This window comes from Homo sapiens, chromosome 7 (genome assembly GCF_000001405.40).
Source record: "Homo sapiens chromosome 7, GRCh38.p14 Primary Assembly".
Taxonomy (NCBI): domain Eukaryota; kingdom Metazoa; phylum Chordata; class Mammalia; order Primates; family Hominidae; genus Homo; species Homo sapiens.
The window spans coordinates 2,737,264-2,756,353 of record NC_000007.14 but is presented as its reverse complement, the minus strand read 5'-3'; the positions used below and the strand labels follow the sequence as shown (position 1 = coordinate 2,756,353).

At 42.6% G+C, this 19,090-nt stretch overlaps 2 protein-coding genes across 8 annotated transcripts in view; one reads left to right on the top strand and one right to left on the bottom strand.

Moving 5' to 3' along the window:
* The window catches only part of AMZ1 (archaelysin family metallopeptidase 1), an 85,617-nt gene that overhangs the window by 8,785 nt on the left and 57,742 nt on the right, over positions 1 to 19,090 (bottom strand). The window contains exon 7 of one of the 4 annotated variants that reach the window (NM_001384740.1): positions 16,524 to 17,495. The exons of the other annotated variants lie outside the window; for them this stretch is intronic. Within the exon in view, the coding sequence (NP_001371669.1) occupies positions 17,178 to 17,495 (318 nt within the window). The 3' untranslated portion in view covers positions 16,524 to 17,177. Of the gene's footprint in view, positions 1 to 16,523; positions 17,496 to 19,090 lie in introns of those variants that run through there. 4 annotated transcript variants of the gene reach the window in all.
* GNA12 (G protein subunit alpha 12) overlaps positions 1 to 19,090 on the top strand; it is a 116,204-nt gene that overhangs the window by 87,955 nt on the left and 9,159 nt on the right. The gene's annotated exons all lie outside the window — the stretch shown is intronic.

Here is a 19,090-nt window from a genome sequence, read left to right as displayed (position 1 = left end):
TCTAGTTTTAGTGATCCAGTTTGAATTAGATTTATATAGGACATAGTTAGAATCAATGTCCTTTTTTGATTTTCTGATCCTCCAAATGAGAGTTTTTTTTAAGTTATGTGCAGATCACCAGTTTTTCCAGCACCATTTGTTGAAAACTTTTCCTTTCCTCATTTGAGTTGCCTTGTCAATTTTTTATAAATCAATTGGCCATATATGTGGGGGCCTGTTTCTGCACTCTCATTTCTATTCGGTTGATCCATATTACTTTTCTTTTGCCGATGATAAACTCTGTCACTTTCTAGCAAGTTGAAAGTTGGTATTATGAAAACGTTGTTCTTCTTTATAAAATGGTTTGTTATTCTGTGGTGTTTTGAAGAGATAAATTTTAAAATGAGCTTGTCAATTTCTACCAAAAAAAATGCCTGCTGGGATTTGTATTGAGACTGGTATTCAATCTAGATCAATTTGGGGAGCATAAACAACAATGTTGAATCTTCCATTTCATGAATATGACATAACTCTCCAATTATTTAGGTTTCAAATTTTTTGCCCAAGTGTTCTTCAGTTTTCAGTAAAGAAATTTTTCACATTTAAAAAAAATTTCCTGTTTTAGCCAATGCAGTAAGGCAAGAAAAGGAAATGCAGGGTAGACATATCAGAGAAAAAGAAATATGACTGTTCCTGTTGGCAGATGGCACAGAAAATCCCAAGGAATCTACCAGAAAAGTCATAGACTAATGAGTCAGTTTAGCAAGGCTACAGGATACAAGATCCATATACAAAATATAAATTTTACTTCTATAGACTAACAATGACCAATAGACACATGGAAACAAATTTAAGATGCAACACCATTAACAGTCATTTTAAAAATGAAATACTGTGGTGTAAATTTAACACAACATCTAGAGGACTTGTTTGATAAGAAGCACGAAACACTCAAGAAATGAGATCTAAACAAATGGAGGGATGTGCCGTGTTCATGGAAAACTCAGTGCTGTCAAGATGTCTGTTCTCCCCTGATTGATACACAGATTTGACACAATTCCTGTGAAAATCGCAGCAAGATCTTTTGTAGACATGGATGTGATTATTGTAAAATGTATGCGGAAAGGCACTGGAATGGCCAAAAATGTTTGAAAAAGAATAAAGTGGGAGGGGCCACTCTCCCTGATTCCAAGGCCTGTTGTCTCCCTGCAGTGGTCAGGCCTGTGTGGTGCTGGCGCAGGGAGAGACACGAGGTCACTGGACAGACCCGTGGATCGCTCCCCGCCAGCACGCCCGACTGATTGCAGCCAAGGGCAGAAGCAACTCAGTGAAGAAGGAGAGCCTTTTCAACAAAGGGTGCTGGACTGTCTCTGTAGGGAAGAAAAAGTGAACCTTGACCTAAATCTCTTATACAAAATTAATTCAAACTGAGTTACAGATTTCAGTGTAAAGCGCAGAACTCTAAAACTTGAGAGAAGATAACAGTAGAAACTCCTTGGGGCCTAGAACTTGGTGAAGAATTCTTAGACATGACGCCCTAGTGATCCGTTGAAATCAAATTTTGAGAAACGGTCATTTTTGTTTCATCAAAATTTGAAATGTTTGCTCTGCAAAAGTCCTCCTTTTGAGGCAGGGTCTCACTCTGTTGCTCGGACTGGAGTGTAGTGGTGTGATCATAGCTCACTGCAGCCTCAGTCTCCTGGGCTCAAGCAGTCCTCTTGTCCCAGCCTCCCCTAATAGCTGGGACTACAGGAACGCAACACTATACCTGGCTAATTTTTTTTTTTTTTTTAAAGTAGAGATGAGGTCTCACTATGTTGCCCAGGTTGGTTTCGAGCCCCTAAGCTCAAGGGATCTTCCTGCCCTGGCCTCCCAAAGTGCTGGGATTACAGGGGTGAGCCACCGTGCCCTGCCCAGATCCTCTTAGTAAGAGGATGAAAAGACAAGCTACAGACTGGGAGAAAAGTATTTGCTGACTACATATCCGACAAAGGACTCATTATCTAGAAAACAGAACTCTCAAAACAATACTCACCAGTACGAAAACAATCCAAACAGAAAATAACAAAACATATGAAGTGATTTCACCAAAGAGGACATGCCGATGGCACATAAGCACGAGAAGACATCCAGCCTCTCCAGCCATTGAGTCACTGCCAATTAAGGGAGATGCAGACTCAGACTGCTGTGAGCTAGCACTACACACCTATTAACACAGATACAATAGAAAATAGTGAAAATAACAAATGCTGGTGAGGATACTGAGAAGCTGGGTCTCATTCATCACTGGTGGGGAGGTAAAAGGGTACAACCGTTCTGGAAAAGAGTTTGGCAGAGAGTAACGCTGAACTTAAGGGTTTAGATGTAGATTCTCTGGTCACTGAGCATATCCAAGTGAACAAAGCACCTAAGATGCGCCGCCGGACCTACAGAGCTCGTGGTCGGATTAACCCATACATGAGCTCTCCCTGCCACATTGAGATGATCCTTACTGAAAAGGAACAGATTGTTCCTAAACCAGAAGAGGAGGTTGCCCAGAAGAAAAAGATATCCCAGAAGAAACTGAAGAAACAAAAACTTATGGCACAGGAGTAAATTCAGCATTAAAATAAATGTAATTAAAAGGAAAAAAAAATTAAACATACACTTATACAGCCCGGCAGTCACACTCCTGGGCATTTACCCTAGAGAAATGAAACTTACATCCACACCACACCTGTACATGAATGTTCACAGAGTTTTATGTGTAATAGCTAAAATACAGAAACAACCAAAATGTCTCTAGATTGGTAAATGGTTAAATAAACTGCGGCACGTTCAGACCATGGAATTCTCCCAGCAGTAAAAAGGGGCAAGCTACTGACAGATGCAACAGTGTGAGCAGATCCCAAGGACATTATGTTGAGTGAAAAAAGCCAACTTCCAAAGGCCACATGCTGCCAGGTGCAGGGGCTCACACCTGTAATCCCAGCACTTTGGGAGGATGGCTTGAGCCCAGTAGTTTAAGACCAGCCTGGACAACATAGCAAGATCCCATCTCTACAAAAAATAAAATTAGCCAATCGTGGTGGCATGCACCTATAGTCCCAGCTACTTGGGAGGCTGAGGCAGGAGGATCATTTGAGCCTGGGAGGAGAGTTTGCAGTGAGCCATGATCATGCCGCTGCATTCCATCCTGGGCAACACAGTAAGACCCTGTCTCTTTTTTTAAAAAAAAAAAGCCGCATGCTGTATGGTTTCACTTTAAGTACACTCTAGAAAAGGCAAAACTATAGGAACAGAAAACAGATCAGTGACTATACATTCTAGAGATGGAAATCAGATTCGTGGTTACCAAGGGATTAGGGATGGTGGAAGAAGGAGGATGGCTGTGATTATAAATTGGTAGCACGAGGGAGACCGTTGTGGTGGGACAGTTGTGTCTCTTGATTGCAGTGGTGGTTACACAAATCTAGACAGGTGACAAAGTGCATGGAACCACACACACATTGTACTAACGTCAGTTCCCTGGTTCTGATATTGTACTATAAGAACAACAGATGTAACCACTGGGGAAAATGCATGGCAGGTCCACCTATACCTCTCTAGGCAATCTTTGCAACTTCCTATGCATCTATAATTATTTCAAGATGAAAAGTTACGGCAAAAAAAAATTCACGTTTCTTAGTACTATTAAAAACGGAATTGCTTTTACAATGTTTAGATTCCATTGGGTTATTGGCAGTATGTAAAACATATACTTGATTTTTGTGTAGTAATCTCTTATCTTGTGAATGTGCTGAACTCACGGATTGATTCTGTTGCTAGCTTTTTTATAGCTTCCTTAGGATTTTGTGTTTGAACAGTTAGGCGATCTGCAGATTGTTTTATTTCTTGCTTTCCAGTCCCTGTGTCTTTTGTTTCATTTGTTCGCTTGCTTGCTGTCTTGCTTTTTGCTGTTAGTCTTTCTAACTTAGCATTGACCAGAAGCAGTAAAAGTGGGCATCCTTGCCTTACACCCAGTGTTAGGGTGAAAGTACTCAGTGGTCCACCATGACTTAGGATGTTAGTTGCATGGTTTTCATAGATGCCCTTTATCAAACTGAGGAAGTTTCTTTCTATTAGTCTGGTGAGAGAGGACTTTTTTTTTAAGCCCTGAGCATGTGTTGAATTTTTTCACATGCTTTTTTTCTGCATCTATTGAAACATTCGTATTTTTTTCTTCCTTATTTTGCTAAAATAGTGGCTGTCTTCTATTGACATTTTTTATGTAGTTAGGTTTAAATTGCTAAAGTTTTGTTAAAGATATTGTGTCTTTTCAAGGGGAGAGTTGGTCTGTAATTTTTCTTTTTTGATAATCTTGTCGGTGTGGGTACCAGGATGATGCTGGCCTCATAAAAGGAGTTGGAAATTATTTCTTCCTCTTTGATTTTCTGAAAAAGTTCACGTTCGTTAGTGTTATTTCTTCTTTACGTGTTTGATAGTGAGGTCATCTAGGCCTGGAGTTTTCCTTTGGGGAAGTTTTGTTGTTGTTTTAGAACAAATCCAGTCTTTTAAAGGCTGTTCAAATTTTCTATTTCATACAGTATCCGTTTTGGGAAATTAAATTTTTTAAAGCAATTTGTCCATTTCGTATAAGATGTCCAATCTGTTAGCATAAAGTTGTTTGGAACATTCTCTTAATACCTGTCAATGTTTGACGGAGCTATAGTATAACTTTTTCATTCCTGATACTGGAGATTTGTTTTTTCTTTTTCTTAATTCCCTTAGGAGGTTATCAGTTCTGTTGACATTTTTAAAGAACCAACATTTGGCCTTGTTAATTGTTTCTATTGCAAAATTCATTTTCCATTTCATTGTTATCTCATCTTTGTTATTTTCTTTCTCCTGCTTACCTTGAGTTTAAAGAGCTCTTCATTAAGCTCTTTGAGGTGGTACCTTTGGTCAGTGATTTTTGATCATTTTTTCTCTTCTATAAGCTGTTTTTTTTTTTTTTCTTTTTTCTTTGAAACGGTCTTGCTCTGTTGCCTATACTGGATTGCAGTGGTGCAGTCTTGGCTCACTGCAGCCTCGGCCTTCTGGGTTGAAGTGATCCTCCCACCTCAGCTCCCCCTGCTGAGTAGCTGGGACTACAAGCATGTGCCAACATACTCGGCTAACTTTGGGGTTTTTTTTGAGAAGATGGGGTTTTACCATGTTGCCCAGGTCTTGAACTCCTGACCTCAACCAGTCCACCTGCCTCAGCCTCCTAAAGTGCTGGGGTTACAAGTGTGTGCCCCCGGGCCCGGCCCTAATATAAGCATGTAAAGCAACAGATTTCTCCCCGAAATGCTGTAGTGGCAACATCTCAAGATAAAAGTGTTGATATTTTAACATTGTCTTGAAGTTCAAAATACTTTCTGATGTACATTGTGAATTCTTCTTGATTTTGGCATGTCTGGGTACCACTCCTGGAGTGTGCATATCTCTCGCTTCTGTTCCCATCTGTCCACCTTTCCATTCGCACCCTCATATTAATCAGTTATTTCAGTTCCCAAGCTGATAACTCTAAAACTTTCGCCATATCCGAATCTGGTTCTGAGGCCTCACTTTGTAACTTCACACTGTGTTTCTTCACACTATGGGACATGCCTGTCCGATAGTCCCCCTTGCTCTTCACACTGTGTGTGTGTCTGTTAACATGCCTGTCCAATAGTCCCCCGTGTCCGTGGCTTCACCTTCCATGGTTTCAGTTACCCGCAGTCAACCGTGGTCCAAAAGGGGATGAATACAGTACAGTGAGACACTTTGAGAGACCACATTCACATAACTTTATTACAGTGTGTTGTTACAATTGTTCTGTTTTATTGTTAACCTTACTCTGCCTAACTTATCAATTAAACTTGACCATAGGTACATGTGTAAAGGGAAAAACAATATAGATAAGGTTGGGTATTATTCAAGGCTTCAGGCATCCACTGAGGTCTCAGCATGTGTCCCCTGAGGATAAGGAGGGGACTCCAGTATTTTTTCTTAAAAGCCAGGCATAACCTATCAGTTGCAGGCTCTGGCATCATCTTCTGTTCCTGGTAAACTGCGATTCTCTGCATTTGCCTGTCTGCCTCTGCAGTTTGGGGGCAGCAGTGTGTCCTGTGATCTCAGCTCTCTGATGGGTCTAAGCAGAGCTGGGACTTGCAGTTTGTTCTCCTTGCCGGTGTCGCTGCTGTGAGGATGGGAGTGACGACTTCCAGGCCCTTTACATGTCAGACCGGAGAGTCTGACTTCTTTGACCTGTGGATTATTCAGAAGTGTGTGGTATAGCATCCTTGCTATGAGTTTCTTCATACTTATCATATTTGGAATTTGTGGAGCTTCTTGAAATCTGTAAATTTATGTCTTTCACCAAATTTGGAAAGTTTTCTGCTTCTAAAAACATTCTCTGCCCCACTCTCTTTGTTCTCTTCTGTGAGATTCCAACTACTTGTGTATTAGGCCTTTAGGAATTGCCCCAAAGATGCCTGCACCTCATTCTTTATCTTTTTTCTCTTTTTGAGATTGGATCATTGGGTCATCTCTATTAATCTAATTTCAGTGGTCACTGATTCTTTCCTCTCTCATCCCCAGTCTCTTATTAAGTTCATCCAGTAAATTTTAAAATTTCAGATGTTGTGTGTTTTAGTTCTAAAATTTCCATTTGTTTTCCACTATGTTTTTTGTGTATCTGATAAGATTTTCTTTTTTTTTATTTTATTATTATTATACTTTAAGTTCTAGGGTACATGTGCACAACGTGCAGGTTTGTTACATATGTATACATGTGCCATGTTGGTGTGCTGCACCCATTAACTCGTCATTTAGCATTAGGTATATCTCCTAATGCTATCCCTCCCCCCTCCCCCTACCCCACAATAGTCCCCGGTGTGTGATGTTCCCCTTCCCGTGTCCATGTGTTGTCATTGTTCAGTTCCCACCTATGAGTGAGAACATGGGGTGTTTGGTTTTTTGTCCTTGCAATAGTTTGCTGACAATGATGGTTTCTAGTTTCATCCATGTCCCTACAAAGGACAAGAACTCATCATTTTTTATGGCTCCATAGTATTCCATGGTGTATATGTGGCACATTTTCTTAATCCAGTCTATCATTGTTGGACATTTGGGTTGGTTCCAAGTCTTTGCTATTGTGAATAGTGCCGCAATAAACACACGTGTGCATGTGTCTTTATAGCAGCATGATTTATAATCCTTTGGGTATATACCCAGTAATGGGATGGCTGGGTCCAATGGTATTTCTAGTTCTAGATCCCTGAGGAATCGCCACACTGACTTCCACAATGGTTGAACTAGTTTACAGTCCCACCAACAGTGTAAAAGTGTTCCTATTTCTCCACATCCTCTCCAGCACCTGTTGTTTCCTGACTTTTTAATGATCACCATTCTAACTGGTGTGAAATGGCATCTCATTGTGGTTTTGATTTGCATTTCTCTGATGGCCAGTGATGATGAGCATTTTTTCATGTGTCTTTTGGCTGCATAAATGTCTTTTTTTGAGAAGTGTCTGTTCATGTCCTTTGCCCACTTTTTGATGGGGTTGTTTGTTTTTTTCTTGTAAATTTGTTTGAGTTCATTGTAGATTCTGGATATTAGCCCTTTGTCAGATGAGTAGGTTGCAAAAATTTTCTCCCATTCTGTAGGTTGCCTGTTCATGCTGATGGTAGTTTCTTTTGCTGTGCAGAAACTCTTTAGTTTAATTAGATCCCATTTGTCAATTTTGGCTTTTGTTGCCATTGCTTTTGGTGTTTTAGACATGAAGTCCTTGCCCATGCCTATGTCCTGAATGGTATTGCCTAGGTTTTCTTCTAGGGTTTTTATGGTTTTAGGTCTAACATTTAAGTCTTTAATCCATCTTGAATTAATTTTTGTGTAAGGTGTAAGGAAGGGATCCAGTTTCAGCTTTCTACATATGGCTAGCCAGTTTTCCCAGCACCATTTATTAAATAGGGAATCCTTTCCCCATTGCTTGTTTCTGTCAGGTTTGTCAAAGATCAGATAGTTGTAGATATGCAGCATTATTTCTGAGGGCTCTGTTCTGTTCCATTGGTCTATGTGTCTGTTTTGGTACCAGTACCATGCTGTTTTGGTTACTGTAGCCTTGTAGTATAGTTTGAAGTCAGGTAGCGTGATGCCTCCAGCTTTGTTCTTTTGGCTTAGGATTGACTTGGCGATGCAGGCTCTTTTTTGGTTCCATATGAACTTTAAAGTAGTTTTTTCCAATTCTGTGAAGAAAGTCATTGGTAGCTTGATGGGGATGGCATTGAATCTATAAATTACCTTGGGCAGTATGGCCATTTTCATGATATCGATTCTTCCTACCCATGAGCATGGAATGTTCTTCCATTTGTTTGTATCCTCTTTTATTTCCTTGAGCAGTGGTTTGTAGTTCTCCTTGAAGAGGTCCTTCACATCCCTTGTAAGTTGGATTCCTAGGTATTTTATTCTCTTTGAAGCAATTGTGAATGGGAGTTCACTCATGATTTGGCTGTTTGTCTGTTATTGGTGTATAAGAATGCTTGTAATTTTTGTACATTGATTTTATATCCTGAAGTTGCTTATCAGCTTAAGGAGATTTTGGGCTGAGATGATGGGGTTTTCTAGATAATATACAATCATGTCGTCTGCAAACAGGGACAATTTGACTTCCTCTTTTCCTAATTGAATACCCTTTATTTCCTTCTCCTGCCTGATTGCCCTGCCTAGGACTTCCAACACTATATTGAATAGGAGTGGTGAGAGAGGGCATCCCTGTCTTGTGCCAGTTTTCAAAGGGAATGCTTCCAGTTTTTGCCCATTCAGTATGATATTGGCTGTGGGTTTGTCATAGATAGCTCTTATTATTTTGAGATACGTCCCATCAATACCTAATTTGTTGAGAGTTTTTAGCATGAAGGTTGTTGAATTTTGTCAAAGGCCTTTTCTGCATCTACTGAGATAGTCATGTGGTTTTTGTCTTTGGTTCTGTTTATATACTGGATTACATTTATTGATTTGCATATGTTGAACCAGCCTTGCATCCCAGGGATGAAGCCCAACTTGATCATGGTGGATAAGCTTTTTGATGTGCTGCTGGGTTTGCTTTTCCAGTATTTTATTGAGGATTTTTGCATCAATGTTCATCAAGGATATTGGTCTAAAATTCTCTTTTTTGGTTGTGTCTCTGCCAGGCTTTGGTATCAGGATGATGCTGGCCTCATAAAATGAGTTAGGGAGGATTCCCTCTTTTTCTATTGATTGGAATAGTTTCAGAAGGAATGGTGCCAGCTCCTCCTTGTACCTCTGGTAGAATTCGGCTGTTGAATCCATCTGCTCCTGGACTTTTTTTGGTTGGTAAGCTATTGATTATTGCCTCAATTTCAGAGCCTGTTATTGGTCTATTCAGAGATTCAACTTCTTCCTGGTTTAGTCTTGGGAGGATGTATGTGTCGAGGAATTTATCCATTTCTTCTAGATTTTCTAGTTTATTTGCGTAGAGGTGTTGATAGTATTCTCTGATGGTAGTTTGTATTTCTGTGGGATTGGTGATGATATCCCCTTTATCATTTTTTATTGCATCTATTTGATTCTTCTCTCTTTTCTTCTTTATTAGTCTTGCTAGCGGTCTATCAGTTTTGTTGATCTTTTCAAAAAACCAGCTCCTGGATTCATTAATTTTTTGAAGGGTTTTTTGTGTCTCTATTTCCTTCAGTTCTGCTCTGATCTTAGTTATTTCTTGCCTTCTGCTGGCTTTTGAATGTGTTTGTTCTTGCTTTTCTAGTTCTTTTAGTTGTGATGTTAGGGTGTCAATTTTAGATTTTTCCTGCTTTCTCTTGTGGGCATTTAGTGCTATAAATTTCCCTCTACACACTGCTTTGAATGTGTCCCAGAGATTCTGGTATGTTGTGTCTTTGTTCTCGTTGGTTTCAAAGAACATCTTTATTTCTGCCTTCATTTCATTATGTACCCAGTAGTCATTTAGGAGCAGGTTGTTCAGTTTCCATGTAGTTGAGCGGTTTTGATTTCTTAATCCTGAGTTCTAGTTTGATTGCACTGTGGTCTGAGAGACAGTTTGTTATAATTTCTGTTCTTTTACATTTGCTGAGGAGTGCTTTACTTCCAACTATCAAGTGGTCAATTTTGGAATAGGTGTGGTGTGGTGCTGAAAAGAATGTATATTCTGTTGATTTGGGGTGGAGAGTTCCGTAGATGTCTATTAGGTCTGCTTGGTGCAGAGCTGAATTCAATTCCTGGGTATCCTTGTTAACTTTCTGTCTCGTTGATCTGTCTAATGTTGACAGTGGGGTGTTAAAGTCTCCCATTATTATTGTGTGGGAGTCTGAGTCTCTTTGTAGGTCACTCAGGACTTGCTTTATGAATCTGAGTGCTCCTGTATTGTTTGCATATATATTTAGGATAGTTAGCTCTTCTTGTTGAATTGATCGCTTTACCATTATGTAATGGCCTTCTTTGTCTCTTTTGATCTTTGTTGGTTTAAAGTCTGTTTTATCAGAGACTAGGATTGCAACCCCTGCGTTTTTCTGTTTTCCATTTGCTTGGTAGATCTTCCTGCATCCCTTTATTTTGAGCCTATGTGTGTCTCTGCACGTGAGATGGGTTTCCTGAATACAGCACACTGATGGGTCTTGACTCTTTATCCAATTTGCCAGTCTGTGTCTTTTAATTGGAGCATTTAGCCCATTTACATTCAAAGTTAATATTGTTATGTGTGAATTTGATCCTGTCATTATGATGTCAGCTGGCTATTTTGCTCGTTAGTTGATGCAGTTTTTTCCTAGCCTTGATGGTCTTTACAATTTGGTATGTTATTGCAGTGGCTGGTACCAGTTGCTCCTTTCCATGTTTAGCACTTCCTTCAGGAGTTCTTTTAGGGCAGGCCTGGTGGTGACAAAATCTCTCAGCATTTGCTTGTCTGTAAAGTATTTTATTTCTCCTTCACTTATGAAGCTTAGTTTGGCTGGATATGAAATTCTGGGTTGAAAATTATTTTCTTTAAGAATGTTGAATATTGGCCCCCACTCTCTTCTGGCTTGCAGAGTTTCTGCCAAGAGATCAGCTGTTAGTCTGATGGGCTTCCCTTTGTGGGTAACCTGACCTTTCTCTCTGGCTGCCCTTAACATTTTTTCCTTCATTTCAACTTTGGTGAATCTGACAATTATGTGTCTTGGAGTTGCCTTTCTCAAGGAGTATCTTTGTGGTGTTCTCTGTATTTCCTGATTTTGAATGTTGGCCTGCCTTGCTAGATTGGGGAAGTTTTCCTGGATAATATCCTGCAGAGTGTTTTCCAACTTGGTTCCATTCTCCCTGTCACTTTCAGGTACACCAATCAGATGTAGATTTGGTCTTTTCACATAGTCCCATATTTCTTGGAGGCCTTGTTCGTTTCTTTTTATTCTTTTTTCTCTAAGCTTCTCTTCTCACTTCATTTCATTCATTTTGTCTTCCATCACTTATACCCTTTCTTCCAGTTCATCGCATCGGCTCCTGAGGCTTCTGCATTCCTCAGGTAGTTCTCATGCCTTGGTTTTCAGCTCCATCAGGTCCTTTAAGGACTTCTCTGCATTGGTTATTCTAGTTATCCATTTGTCTAATTTTTTTTCAAAGTTTTTAACTTCTTTGCCATTGGTTCGAACTTCCTCCTGTAGCTCAGAGTAGTTTGATTGTCTGAAGCCTTCTTTTCTCAACTCGTCAAAGTCATTGTCCATCCAGCTTTGTTCCGTTGCTGGTGAGGAGCTGCGTTCCTTTGGAGGAGGAGAGGTGCTCTGATTTTTAGAGTTTCCAGTTTTTCTGCTCTGTTTTTTCCCCATCTTTGTGGTCTTTTCTACCTTTGGTCTTTGATGATGGTGACGTACAGATGGGTTTTTGGTGTGGATGTCCTTCCTGTTTGTTAGTTTTCCTTCTAACAGACAGGACCCTCAGCTGCAGGTCTGTTGGAGTTTGCTAGAGGTCCACTCCAGACCCTGTTTGCTTGGGTATCAGCAGCGGTGGCTGCAGAACAGCGGATATTGGTGACCCACAAATGCTGCTGCCTGATCGTTCCTCTGGAAGTTTTGTCTCAGAGGAGTACCCGGCCGTGTGAGGTGTCAGTCCGCCCCTACTGGGGGGTGCCTCCCAGTTAGGCTACTCAGGGTCAGGGACCCACTTGAGGAGGCAGTCTGCCCGTTCTCAGATCTCCAGCTGCGTGCTGGGAGAACCACTACTCTCTTCAAAGCTGTCAGACGGGGACATTTAAGTCTGCAGAGGTTACTGCTGTCTTTTTGTTTGTCTGTGCCCTGCCCCCAGAGGGGGAACCTACAGAGGCAGGCAGGCCTCCTTGAGCTGTGGTGGGCTCCACCCAGTTTGAGCTTCCCGGCTGCTTTGTTTACCTAATCAAGTCTCGGCAATGGTGGGTACCCCTCCCCCAGCCTCGCTGCTGCCTTGCAGTTTGATCTCAGACTGCTGTGCTAGCAATGAGCAAGACTCCTTGGGTGTAGGACCCTCCGAGCCAGGTGCGGGATGTAATCTGGTGTGCCGTTTTTTAAGCCTGTTGGGAAAGTGCAGTGTTAGGGTGGGAGTGACCCAATTTTCCAGGTGCTATGTGTCACCCCTTTCTTTGAGTAGGAAAGGGAATTCCCTGACCCCTTGCGCTTCCCGAGTGAGGCAGTGCCTCGCCCTGCTTCGGCTCGCGCACAGTGCGCTGCGCCCACTGTCTGGCACACCCCAGTGAGATGAACCCGGTACCTCAGTTGGAAATGCAGAAATCACCCGTCTTCTGCATTGCTCACGCTGGGAGCTGTAGACCGGAGCTGTTCCTATTCGGCCATCTTGGATCCTCCCTGACCTCTGATAAGATTTTGTGTATCTTTATTCAACATGAGCATTTTTAACCTAATTGAGCCTAATTATAATAGCTGCTTTAAAGTCTGTGTCAAGCCATCCCAGTATCTGGGATATTTGAGTTGATAACTTCTGATTGTTTTTGCCCCTGATGATGAATATCTTCCATATTTTGAATAATTTAATTATATCTTGGGTATTATGGATGTCGTTTTAAGACTTAAATCCTGTTCTGTTCATCCATCTAATGTTGATATTTTTGCTTTAGCAGACATTTAACTTGGTGAGACCCAAACTGCCAACTTGGTCATGCCTGTGCTGGTGGTTGCTTAGATCACAGCAGAGACCCCTTTCAGTTTGCCCCCATATATACGGTTCAGGGGCCAGCCAGGCTCTTAGGCAAAGTTTATGCACAGAACTTGAGGTCTCCCTCACTGACTCTTTTCTTTTTGGAGTGTTCCCACCTTACCCCTTGGCAGTCCTGGTTGCCCCAGCTCTGTCCTCTTGTTCTCCTGGCCAAAAAGATGGTAGGCTTTCTGTCTGAATGTTGTTGTTGCCACACACCACCATGCCTGTGGCTCACAGGTGATGTGAGTGTGCACCTGGAAAATTGAGAAGAACCTACAGGTCTATTATTAGAATGAATACAGAGCTTAGCAGGGTGACTAGGCACAAGCCAATATACAGAAATCAGTTGTATTTCTATTCACTAGCAACAAAGGATTATAAAATGGGAAATGTTTAAAGATGCCATTTAAGAAGCACCATAAAAGATTACATACCTGAGAATAAATCTAAGGGAAGATGTGCATCACCTGTGTACAGAAAATTTATAAGCATTACCAAGAGGAATTAAAGGCCTCATTCAAAATCAAAACTCTGCAGGTGTTTGCGGGGACAGGGAGGGTAGACATTGACAGCTGACTTTAGAACTAATATGGAAACGCAAAGGGCCGGCGAGACTCAGTGCTTTCTTCACTTTGAGCACCAAAGTAAGCGAGGACAGAGATGAATTACAGCCCCTGGAAAATGACAGCGTCTGTGAGTCCATGTGGACAGCGATGAGATAAACAGGAGCAGGGCTCTTGTTGACAGTGGAATGTCACTCACAGACCAGCAAGCATGGAGTGGCACTGACTGGAAAATCATCTCGAAACTGTCATGTTAAACACTGGAGACATCGCAAAAACCCCAAGGGCCGTGGGAGGCAGCCCTCTTCTTCAAAAATCTCAGTGTAGGCTGGGCGTGGTGGCTCACACCTGTAATCCCAGCACTTTGGGAGGCTGAGGCGGGCAGATCACTTAAGTTCAAGACCAGCCTGGCCAAAATGGGGCAAAACCCTGTCTGTAGTAAAAATACAAAAATTAGCCAGGTATGGTGGTGCACCTCTGTAATCCCAGCTACTCGGGTGGCTGAGGCAGGAGAATCTCTTGAACCTGGGAGGCGGAGGCTGCAGTGAGCTGAGATCGCCCCACTGCACTCTAGCCTGGGCAACAGGGTGAGACTCCATCTCAAAAAAATAAAAAAATAAAAAAATTCAAGTGTTTCAGATTAAATGAAACTAAAGAGGCATGATAACTACATGTAAGTAATATACTAAATTCTGTGCTAGAGGAGGGAAATGGTCTTATAATGCTGTATCTGTATATATTAGATAAACCTCGGTGTCTAATACGTGGTAATTATGAGACAGTCATCCTAGATGAATACTCTTATCCTTGCGGCGTTCTCCTGAAGCAGCACCTGAAGTTGCCGTGGTTGTAGAAGCAGGTGTCCTCATTCTTAGGACATACCCTCTGAAGTTGTTAGGGGTAAACAACTTGCTCTCAAATGATGACGGATTTTTAAAAGTCTGTGTATTGAAAGAGAGCGAGCGAAGGATAAAGCAAATGAGAGAAGATGTGAACAGGTGAATCTAGAGAAAGACTGTATGAGCTCTTTGTACTATTCTTGCAACTTTTCACACATACCTCTGTCCTAGCCCCAAAGAGACTTGGAATTTGGGTTCTGGCTACTACAAAGGCTGGAATTCTGCTGTGAATTTCCCCAAAAAGTAGAAAGCTAACAGGCAGTCCAACTGTGACATGCCTGGTGCCGCACTTGCTGGGTTTTAGAGATTCTGTGGTGGAAGCCTCTGGAAACTGGGTGAGCTCTCCCCACCCCTAGCCCTGTTATTTAGGTTTTTGGGTTTTTTTTAAGAGACAGTGTCTCACTCTGTTGCCCAGGCCTGAGTGCAGTGGCGCAATCATGGCTCACTGCATCCTCAACCTCCTGGGCTCAAGTGATCCTCCCACCTCAGCCTCCCAGGTAGCTGAGACCACAGGTGTGCGTGCCGCCACACCTAGTCTAGGTGCTTTTTATCTAGAGGCAGGGGAATACCTTAAAACATACTGTAAAATTTCTTTCTAGCTCATTTTTCTATGATGATCCCTGTGATACAAATGAAGAATCTAAATCTATAGTGGTTTTTTGTTTGATTATTTGTTTGTTTGTTTGTTTGTTTGTTTTGAGACGGAGTCTCGCTCTGTCGCCCAGGCAGGAGTGCAGTGGCCCGATCTCAGCTCACTGCAAGCTCTGCCTCCCGGGTTCACACCATTCTTCTGCCTTAGCTTCCTGAGTAGCTGGGACTACAGGCACCTGCCACCACGCCCGACTAATTTTTTTGTATTTTTAGTAGAGGCAGGGTTTCACCATGCTAGTCAGGATGGTCTAGATCTCTCGACCTCGTGATCCGTCCGCCTCGGCCTCCCAAAGTGCTGGGATTATAGGCATGAGTCACCGCGGCGAGCCCTAAATCTGTAGTTTTAAGGGCTGAATCTATAATTTGAACTATTAAACATCTTATGAAACTGTTTAAGAATGAGCCCAACAGATACTCATAAACCCATTGCCCAGTATTAACATGTTGTTTACATTTCACCATCTTTGCCTCTGACAGATGAAAATCCACAAGTTCATAATTATATTTGTCGGCTCAAGCTGCCATAACAAAATACTCTGACTGGGTGGGTTAAACAACAGAAATTAATTTTCTCACAGCTCTGGAGATTGGAAATTGAGGATCTGGGTGGCAGCACCATCAGGTTCTGGTGAGGGAGGGCTGTCTTCCTCGCTTGCAGACGGCCAGCTTCTCACTGTGTCCTGGTGCCTCACATAGGACGGAGTGAGAGGGAGAGCTCTCCGGTCTCTTCTTATGAAGGCACTATCGTATCATGAGGTCCCTACCTTCAGTCACCTCCCAAAGTCCCCATCTCCAAATACCATCACACTGCAGGTAGGGCTTCCACATGGGAATTCTGGGAGCATACAAACATGCAGTCTATAATGATGATACAAATAGAACCACCTAGAAAAGATCACCAGGAAATGCCAGAAAACCCAGAAAAGATCACACTGGAGTGCCATTTCACAGCTAGTAGGATGGCCACCGTTTTTAAAAATCAGAAAACAGCAAGTGTTGGCAAGGATGTGGATAAATTGGAAACTTTGTACATGGCCCATGGGAATGTAAACTTGTGCAGCCGCCGTGGAGAACAGCTTGGTGGTCTTCAGAAAATTAAGCACAGAATTACCAAAGGACTGCCGGGCACAGTGACTCACACCTGTAATCCCAGCACTTTCAGAGGCCAAGGCGGGCGGATCACTGGAGGTCAGGAGTTCGAGACCAGCCTGGCCAACACGGTGAAACCCCCGTCTCTACTAAAAATACAAAAATTAGCCAGGTTTGGTGGCGCACGCCTGTAATCCAGCTACTTGGGAGGCTGAGGCAAGAGAACTGCTTGAACCAGGAGGCAGAGGTTGCGGTGAGCCAAGATCGCACCACTACACTCAGCCTGAGCAACGGGGCGAGACTCCATTTTAAAATAAAAAAAGAACTACCATAGGATGCTACAGTTTCACTCCTAGGTGTATACTCAAGAAATGAAAACAGATATTCAAGCAAAAACTTCCACACAGCTGTTTGTAGCACTGTTCACAACGGCCAAAAACTGGAAACAAAGTGTTCATCAACTGACAAATGGAAAAACAAACCACATATCCATACAATGGCATGTAATATACATATATATATATTGGCCGTAAAATGGAATGTTGCACTGGCCTGTGCCACAGCATGGGCGAGCCTCGGAAATGCCGCACCAAGTAAAAGAACCAGACACAAAGGGCTGCATGCTGTGTGAATGCGCTCCAATGAGAGATCCAGAACCGGCAAATCCATGGAGACAGAAAGCAGATTCGTGTTGTCAGGGTCTGGGCCAGGGCAGTGGGAGTGGCGGCTGATAGGCTGTAGAAGTGGTGGCCGTACAACATTTTGAAGGTAGTAAATGCCATTGAATGGTTCATGTCAAAATGGTGAATTTTCTATTATGTAGATCTTACCTAATGAAAACATAAAGGAAGAACCCAGGCAAGGGGGCTGGTGCTTTAGGGGCCCGGCGTGGCACCCCTGTGACAGCAACCCTGCACACGCCGAGGACACACCCTGCGGAGCCTGAGCTTACAGTTGTAGAGGCTGCTCCACGGCCAAGGACCCTGTGCAGCTCTTCCTGGGGTCTCACTGCTGTGACCAAGGGGTGGCTGTGTGCCAGGCTTGGAGACGAGGTGTCCACAGGCACAGCCACGAGGCTACACACAGGGCAAGGGGGCCAAAGCGTGGCCAGAGTCAGGGGCCAGCTCCTCTGTACTTTCACATTCTGGCAAAAAACAAAAAAACAAACAAAATAAAAAACAGGAGGAGGCCAGAATTCTAGGTTCCGCCTCTAACCTTATTGTCCTATTGGGTTCATTTGCTTTAATTTGGGTTCAATTTTGAGGGGTTGGTTTTTTATTTAATTTTTTTTTAATTATGGAAGATGTTAGCATGGTTCCAAAGTCAGACATACTCAGAGAGGGCTACTCCTGTCTCTGTCCCATCCCCCATTCCCTCCCTCCCTAGAAGTCATTTTTATCTGCTGCTGGTGTATCCACGTTTCCTTTTCCAAATATAAGCAAGCAGAATATGGGTTTTAGTCTCCCGCCATTTCTTACATAAAAGGAAGATACTCTGCGTTGTTTCGTGCCTTGTGCTTTTCCTTTGGCAGTGGGTATCGGAAACCTCCTTCCAGCCACGGAGCTCTTCTCCTTCGCCGGTGCGTAGCCCCTGACTGCGTGGAGATCACAGTTTCCTCAAGCAGCTTCTCCTACTAGACGTTTCCTGCAGTGACAGCTTGTGCCTGCGTCACTTTGTATTTCTGCCAGTGAATCTGTTACCTAATTTTTTTTTTTTTTTAGATGGAGCCTCACTCTGTTTTTGTATTTTTAGTACAGACAGGGTTTCACCATGTTGGCCAGGCTTGTCTCGAACTCCTGACCTCAAGTGATTGCCTCGGCCTCCCAACGTGCTGAGGTTACTGTGAGCCACCACGCCTGGTCCTCTTACCTAATATTTGGGGATGATAAATTAGCAACAAACAATTCATAGGTACCCAAATTAAAACTTGAAAAGCTTCCTTTTTCTAATGTATATGAATGTGGTGTTGTATCTCTTTTCCAGAATACTTTCACAGCTGTGGTATCATTTAATCTCACGCCAGCCCTGTGAGATGTCACAGGCGTTCACTGAGCAAAGCCTGAGTTCAAAATGAGGATTTCTTTTGGGGAACTAGATACTGTTTTTAAAAGTATTTTGAAAGATTCTCTGTTGTTTGGCTAGCGTCTCTATTCAGTGGAAATCAAATGCTAACTTTAATATTTATTTATTAAGTAATGAAATTGAAAACCTGGGCCTTTGGCATAGTTTGCTGTTACTTTTCATACACAGCAGTTTTAAAATTTGTCTTTGTAATTTGTCACGTTGAAGTGAGTGAACTAGATTTTGGAATCCTCTAGCTCACCATTAACAAGCCCTGTTTTCGGTCACAGTGTGAATGACCCCGCTTTAGGATTTTAGAGTTAACCTCACTAAGTGCAGAAACTGTAAGACAGGGCCGGGCGCTGTGGCTCACGCCTGTAATCCCAGCACTCTGGGAGGCTGAGGTGGGTGGATTACCTGAGGTCAGGAGTTCGAGACCAGCCTGGTTAACCTGGTGAAACCCCGTCTCTACTAAAAATACAAAAGTTAGCCGGGTGTGGTAGTGCACGCCTGTAGTCCCAACTACTCTGTAGGCTGAGGCAGGAGAATTGCTTGAACCCAGGAGGCAGAGGTTGCAGTGAGCCAAGATCACACCACTGCACTCCAGCCGGGGCGACAGGGCGAGACTCCATCTCAAAAAAAAAAAAAAAAACAAAAAAAAAAAAAACAAAACAAAAC